Source organism: Homo sapiens, chromosome X (assembly GCF_000001405.40).
Source record: "Homo sapiens chromosome X, GRCh38.p14 Primary Assembly".
NCBI classification, from domain to species: domain Eukaryota; kingdom Metazoa; phylum Chordata; class Mammalia; order Primates; family Hominidae; genus Homo; species Homo sapiens.
Genome location: NC_000023.11, coordinates 149,360,543 through 149,368,660, shown reverse-complemented (window position 1 = coordinate 149,368,660; position 8,118 = coordinate 149,360,543).

The following is an 8,118-nucleotide window of genomic DNA, read 5'->3' as shown; positions in this document are numbered from 1 at the left end:
AAATAACGGTAGACCACAGGCTGCAGCATAAGTAGATTGAGCCTCAGTTTCAGCACAGGAGGAAGGGAAGCTCTTCAAAGAGCAAGTTTTAGCCTGGATTGTTACTCTAGAGCTAGACCCAGCAAGACCCTGTGAGTCCAGTCAAGCTGGAAGATGCGGCCCTGGCTTCAGATGAGGCTGATTTGGGATAATTCCTGATATTTGAGGGACAAGATACTACCTGGATTGGCCTAGATCCCTCTAAGTCCAGCCCACATACTTGGGCTGCTGAGAGAGAAAGGCCCCACCATCTCAAGTTCTCTGTGGTCAGCAGTAGTCTCTGCTCACGGAGGTCTCCCTGGTCCTGCTGTTGTCTTTGTTGAGCAAAGATTACTACCTTGATAGCACTGACCTCTGTGGCTTATCCTGTGTTTTGCTTTAAACCTGCTTGACCTCTTTCTCCTCACTTATCCCTTGGACCAGCCAGGAGCCCTACCTGGAGGTGTGATGACTGTAAAACAGGCCCGTGTGCACGCCTAGAAGCAGGCTTCTTTCTTTTTCTTTTGCCACTCCTACCCTTCTTCTCCTTTCTGTCTCTCTCTTCCATTTTATGTCAAATATTTGCTTGGTTTACAGCTCATAAAGTATCATTTTGTTAAATCATGTTTCCATTTAAGTAAGATGACTGTCAGAATGAAGCTATTTTATTGTGTTAGGAGTTAGAAAAATATAAAGAAAAATCCATTTTGAGAATGGAATAACACAACACATTTTAGTTCAGTCTTCTTGGTTTTTCTTTTAATAGGATTATAGATCTCTAATTTTTTTCCCCACAATTCAAAGCTAGTTGCTTCTAAGGGGGTCTCTGGGCCCCTTTGTGAACTGTACCCTCCACTCCTTTCTAGTTATGTCTTTGGACACACTGATCTTGCTGCTTTCCATTCAGTCTATCCAGCTGCTGGGTGTATGCAATTCAATAGTTGACAAACTGATTCAATGCCCATTATGGACTGCCCTCCATGTGTCCTGAGAAAACTGAAATCATCAGAATGTGGTTCCTGCCCCCTAGGAACTCATGGCATGCATGTCTGTAGGGATGACAGACATGGGAAATTCATTATACTATGATGTTTTTCATTCTATGCCAGAAGTGTGGAACATTACTGTAGGAACACAGAAGAGTTGCTAAATTGCCCCTGACAAGAGCAGGATGGCTATGTACAGCCATGCAGATCATGCACTGTGCAAAGGTGACAAATTTAAGTAGAAACCACCCACAGTGTAGGTACCCAAAATATCTACATTAGGGCAGTTTTCTGGCAGATAAAGGAACATGTCTGAAGGAAGGGATGTATTTTAAAAATTCTCACTAAGGCACTGTATGGGTTAGCGGGTGACCGTGGACAGGCACATGATTTGAAGGGCGATGGAGAGGAGATGGTATTGCGTCTGGGCTATACAATGGTATTAAAAGTTAGCTGGCCAGGCAACCAGGCAAAGAGTATTCTAGGCAGAGGGAGAATGAGTTGTGACAGAGACAGGAAATCACAATGGTGGGCCTAAGAAATGAAGAGTGGCTGAAATCATCAGAATGTGGCTGTTGCAGAGCACACATGATGGGGTATTATGGGCTGTGGTTTGTAAACACAGTTTAGAGTTAGATTATGAAGGTTTTCTGGAATGTTTTGCTAAGGGTTTGAACTTTATCCTGAAGGTATTATAAAGCCATTAAAAGTTCTGTATTGATCTATTTTTAAAAATAATATTTTATAAAGTATAAGTAATCGTTCCAAAAAGAATGATTTGAGATGGAAAGATACACCAGCCTTGTTACCAATATTGGAATTCAAAAATCATTGAAGGCAGGGCTTTCAAACTCAAACACCTACAGGGGCCAGGCAGGTAGCAAGTAAGGGTACTGAGGGAAGTGGATTTAATACAACAGAGGGTGATGCGAAGAGCACATGCCCCAAGGAAGTGAGTAACCATACTGAGCTCTAGCTGATTGTTTCCAGGAGGAACTCCTGTGTGGAGGGAGGTCAAGTGGGGCCATTTCATTCATGTTTTCATGAGAAGCTGGAAACTTAACATTTGTGTAAATTTCCTAAATTCTAAATGTTGGCAGGTAATTCATATTTTTAAAAATACTGTGTGTGTCTTTCAGTGCAGGTCTGCAGACCAGAGTCACCAATGGGCCACTGGTTTACAGTCTCTGATAATGAGAGATGGAACAGAAAATTCCTCTAGGAAACTGAGATGAGATGTTAATGAGCGCTAAGTTGATCTCTGAGCTTCACCGCAGGTAAAACAAACATAGATACCAATTCCACTCCTGTTCGTGATGGGAGAAGAAATGGAGGCCAAATTTAAGTGGGCAAGAGATGATCTCTGTGGATATGAAAAATGAATGGAAATTAAATGACTGATGAGTAGGGCTCATAATAGTCTTTTTGTGGCAAATTCTTTCTGTGAGAGTATTTCCTTAGTGATCCTTGAGTTGGTTGTGGCAGAACTGTCAGCTGGCCAGGGCCTGAGTAACGTTGCTTGAAAAAAGAGGCTCAAGGTGAAGAGTGTACTATCACTTTTGTATCACACAGCTTTTCTGGGTCTTAGCCCTTACTTGTGGCTGTCAGGGGGTTGAGTGCTATATCTAAGTGCTTCAGTGGCTCCCAGATTCTGAATAGGTTTTGAATATGTGTAGTAGAGTGCCTGTCCCATGCTCAGCCCCAGCTCAAGGGGTAGCCCTTAGTGGGATGTGTTTAGTACAACATGACTATTCTCAACTGTAACTAATTGGACTAGGGTGGGCACTTTTAAGGGTAGCTCATCTATAAGCTGATAAACAGGCTTCAATAGGATTGCCTGTATCATGACTTTTTCCTAAGCCTCTCTCCTTTTACATGATTATCTTTGATGTGGCCATGTTCTGACCTTGCCCTTTGGCCACTATTGTTTGGTTCAGTAGTGTAGGCACTATCCCAAAGCTGGATGTACTCCCTTCTGTAAGAGTTTTGAACTTAACCTCAAAAGAATCAGGCCTGTAGCTACACCTTGTAAGGTTTTAGTGCATGTGTGTTTGCATGCACACACACACATAAACACACACACAGAATTTACAAGTGAAATGTGCATATGCTTATGGGTGAGCTAGCTGATGGTATTTGAATTCCTGGTTCCTATTGTTTTTGAGGATTCTTGCCCTTCCCGGGGCTTGAATTTTCAAACTTTCCTTGGACTTTTTATTTTAAAATATTACTTTAAAACACTTTTTGGAATTTTTTTTTTTTTTTTTTTGCGGGGGAATGCTTAGGCTAGAATGAATTTGGTTACTTTCAGTTGAAACCAAAATATTCCTGAGTAATGGAGGTGGTCAACTATTCTGTGGCCTCTGGAAAATACCAGAAGAATGAATCATGAAACTAACCAAATAGCTAAAACTCAAAGGATACCTACAAAGAATAGTCACTGAGTCAAAGTACAGGGGGCCCTAGGAAGGGTTTTCCTGCTCATTAAATGAGAGTGTTAGATGGAGAGACAGTATGTGCTGAAGGATATCAGACTCTGGGAAACCCCAGATTTCTTGTAGGTCAAAATTATTAGTTGTATTTGCTATGGTGTTTCTCTATAGTTGCCTCAGAAAAAAGTAAAGCAACATGATATTTGAACCCCAGCTCTGCCACTTCCTAGTCACGTGACCTTTGGCAAACCACTTACCTCTCTGAGCCTTGGTTTCCTCATCTGTTGACGTTAATGGTAATACCACTCTCACAGGTGCATTCTGCGGCTTAAATAAGGTAGCATGAAGGAAAGCACTTAGCATTGTGCCCTCAGCTCTGTAGAAACTTAATAAAAATGGATTTTCTTCCAACTTTTATTTCTCTGATTAAATACCATAAAGAAGCCAGTACTGACACTTCCTAAAAAGCACTTGATGGGGCTATTTATCTATAGAGCTAATGTCAAAATTTAATCAGCAATTAACCATCTTCTTTCAGCTGTTTTATTTGTGATCATTTCCACCTTTCCAGGTATTTTTCCTGCCATTTACCACAAAGAATAATTTCTAATCATGTGTGAATTTCTTTTAGGCTGGGAAAAACCATGACACAGGAGTTATTTTTCATGTTGCAGACTTGCTTCTTGTCAGAGGGATCTTACAAAGATGACCTTAGTGATGAAGACATTGTGAATTAAAATCATTTGTTCTGAAAGGTGGGACCAAGATGTAAGCTTCAGGAAACGTTGCCTCATCTACTTTCAAGGTGGGGCTTTCTCATTAAAGTGCCTATACGATGTTTCTCCTTCCCAGAGATGAAGGATAAAAAAAGAATAAAACCATCAGGCATTTTTGTTTAACTATGTCATTGTTGTTTTATAGTAGTTTTATTACCTGCATGTATTTAGATATGAGAATTCAGAGAAGGCTGTGAAATATATTCTAAAGCTTCAGGGGTAGGAAAGTGCTCTGAACTGGTTAGTTGGTGTGTCTCCCCAGAGAATTATCTTCCAGGCTGCAGATTCTGACAGAAGGCACTCTCTGCCTTTTATAGTCCTGCTCACGGAAGGGGAAGTGGAGGGGGAGAAAGCCTCTGGAAAATATCTTACAGAGAACCGACAGAGCACTGTATTGCTTTCAACAAGGTGTTTCCATCTCCTTTTCTTGCTGTTAAAATTACCTGCAAGCCAAGTAGGCCACATAAAATGAAGGAAAAGGAAATGAAGTCCGTTAATCTCCCAAGACAGACATTTATTATACGAAAGCCAAGTGACAACTTTGAACCATTGGCCTCACCTTCTGTGGAGAAAAAGGCTCATGCCTCAGAAACTGCAGGAATCTTGGATCTGCTCCCTGGTAGGGGAGTTGTATTGGTCGTCTGAAAGGAGACTGGCCTCAGCCAAATGTCATCTCCATGAATATGAGCCCAAAGTTCCAGTTGCTGAAGTATCTATTGATTAAAGAATCATGATAAATGAGAACAAGGCTGTGAATAAGATCAATGCCACGGACCTCAGAAGCAAGTCTCCTGTGAAACTTCACAGGAACATCAAACACTCCTTTGGAGAAGCACTGATCTCTGGTCTGAGCGAAGCCTTGAGGATTTTTAGGTTCTTCCAGATGTAACTTTCTATAGTGGATCTTCAGTGAGCATACAGTTATATGAGAGGCAGTGCCATGTAAGGGAAAGAGCACTGAATGTGGAGTTCAAGCCTATTAGCAATTGCAAATCAGGGATATTGAAAACAGCCTCTGTTTCTCAGCATAGCATCCTGGTTGCAAGTACAAATTCTGGAGCTAGATTACCTGGGTTCTAATCCCAGCTCTGCTGTTTACAAACTGTGTGACCTGGGGCAAGTTATTTAACCTTTCTGTGCCCTAGTTTTTTCTCCTATAATATGATAATAGCAATGGTATCTACTGCAAATGATTGTGATGATGATTAAATAACCTAATCTTTGTAAAGGATCTAGAACAGTGCTATGGTTACTGTTTGCCGATTAAGTTCCTTCCCTATTCTTTTGTTTGTTTTTCAAACTAAGTCTGTTCTCGCCACACTGCAGAGACAGACACTGTGTTAGTCAGGGTTCTTCAGAGAAACAAAGCCAATTGTGTGTGTGTGTGTATAAAAGATTTATCTTGTTTTATTTATGTATTTTTTTTGAGACAGAGTCTTGCTCTGTCTCCCAGGCTGGAGTGCAGTGGCTTGATCTCGGCTCACTGCAACCTCTGCCTCCCGGGTTCAAGCGATTCTCCCACCTCAGCCTCCCTAGTAGCTGGGATTACAGGCTCCCGCCACCATGCCAGGCTAATTTTTGAATTTTTAGTAGAGACAGGGTTTCACCACGTTGGCCAGGCTCGTCTCAAACTCCTGACCTCAGGCAATCTGCCCGCTTCGGCCTCTCAAAGTGCTGGGATTACAGGTGTGAGCCACCATGCCCGGCCTATAAAGAGGTTTACCATGAGAGATTGGCTCACATGATTATGGAGAATGAGACATCCCATGATTTACCATCTGTCAGCTGGAAGTCCAGGAAAGCCAGTGGTATATTTCCAGTACAAGCCTAAAGGCCTGAGAACCAGGGAAGCCAAAGGTGTAAGTCCTGGTCTGAGTCCAAAAGTGCAGGAACCAGGATTGCTAATGTCCAAAGGCAGGAGAAGACAGACAGCCCAGCTCAAGGAGAGAGTATGAATTCCTCCTTCTTCCATCTTTTTGTTTTGTTTAGGCCCTCAGTGGATTAGATGAGGCCCACTCACATTGAGGAGGGCCATATTCTTTACTCAGTCCACTAATTCAAATGTTAATCTCTTTCAGAAGTACCTTCAGAGATGCCCCCAGAAATAATGTTTTACCAGCTATCAGGGCATCTCTTAGCCTAGTTAAGTTGACACATAAAATTAACCATCACAATTCCTCTCCTTGTCAACTTCACACCTGTATGCATCTCCTTAAGCCATACTTAATCTCCAAATAAAGGCCAGGAGTAGTGGCTCACGCCTGTAATCTCAGCACTTTGGGAGGCTGAGGAGGGCGGATCACCTGAGGTCAGGAGTTCAGGATCAGCCTGACCAACATGGAGAAACCCTGTCTCTACTAAAAATGCAAAAAATTAGCCTGGCATGGTAGTGCATCCCTGTAATTCCAGCTACTCGGGAGGCTGAGGCAGGAGAATCGCTTGAACTCGGGAGGCGGAGGTTGTGATGAGCCGAGATTGTGCCATTGCACTCCAGCCTGGGCAACAAGAGTGAAACTCTGCCTCAAAAAAAAAAAAAAAAAAAAAAAATCTCCAAATAAAGACAATAACAAAGTCATAATCAGCTAACATGATACAACTGTTCTCTGTGCAACTAATACACACTTATCCCTTTCCCATAAGAGGAGATGAAGTCCTTGAGTGACGTTTATTCTTCTTCTGATATCCTCTAACTTAAATACTATGAAGTAACATTAACATTACTTAAAAACTAATACAAACTCAATACATCTTATGTTACATGATAAGGGAATACAAGAGGAAACAAAACAAAGACATTTGCTTAATATTTCCCTATTCTCTTTTTTTCACACTAAGTTTACATTTATTCACACAAATGTATTTATGTAAAATAAGAAAGAAATACTCATGACAAGTATAGCCCCTGTTTCCATAACTGGTCTTATGATAGTAGCTGGTATTTATTACCCCCTTTTTCTATTACCCATGTTGGATTCCTTTTGTCTTCAGCAACAACCTCAACTGGTCATGGTTCTTTACCTGTCAGGATGACCCAAACCTTCATTCTTGAAGGATCTGGGACATTCATAGTCCTACCTGGATTTTTTCCCCATTAACCTTAATCGCAGGGTATGATAATACTAAGAGACACCCTAAGGGATCACTGTTACTCCAGACATATTCTTCTTTGCTTCCATTGTGGAGCATAGTCCAATTTCCCCCTTGACATTGTGACTCAATCACTGCAGCCAACACCATAACTCCCTTCTTGGCCTGTTGACTCAGAGGCATGAGGACCCCAAAGTAGAAAGGTGGTAATCTTATTTGCCAATTAAATGGAATCATTGTGTCTCCTGGTAGAAGCATCCTTCCTTTTGGAACTAACATATCTAGGCCAGTGGAACTGAATTCAATAACACATTAAAAAGATCATTAATCAGGACCAAATGGGATTTATCCCAGGGATGCAAAGATAGTTCAACATATGCAAATCAATCAATATGATACATCATATCAACAGAATGAAGGACAAAAACCATATGATCATTTCAATTGATGCTGAAGAAGCATTTGACAAATTTCAACATCTCTTCCTGATAATAACCCTCAGAAAAATGGGAATAGTAGGAACATACCTCAACATAACTAAAGCCATATATGACAAACTCACAGATAGTATCATCCTGGATAGGGAAAAACTGAAAGCTTTTCCTCTATGATCTGGAGCAAGACAAGGACGCCCACCTTCACCACTGTTATTCCACACAGTACTAGAAATTCTAGCTAGAGCAATCAGACAAGAGAAAGAAATAAAAGGCATCCAAAGTGGAAAAGAAAAAGTCAAATTATTATTGTTAGCAGATAATATGATCTTATGTTTGGAAAAACCTAAAGAATCCACAAAAATACTATTAGAACTGATAAATA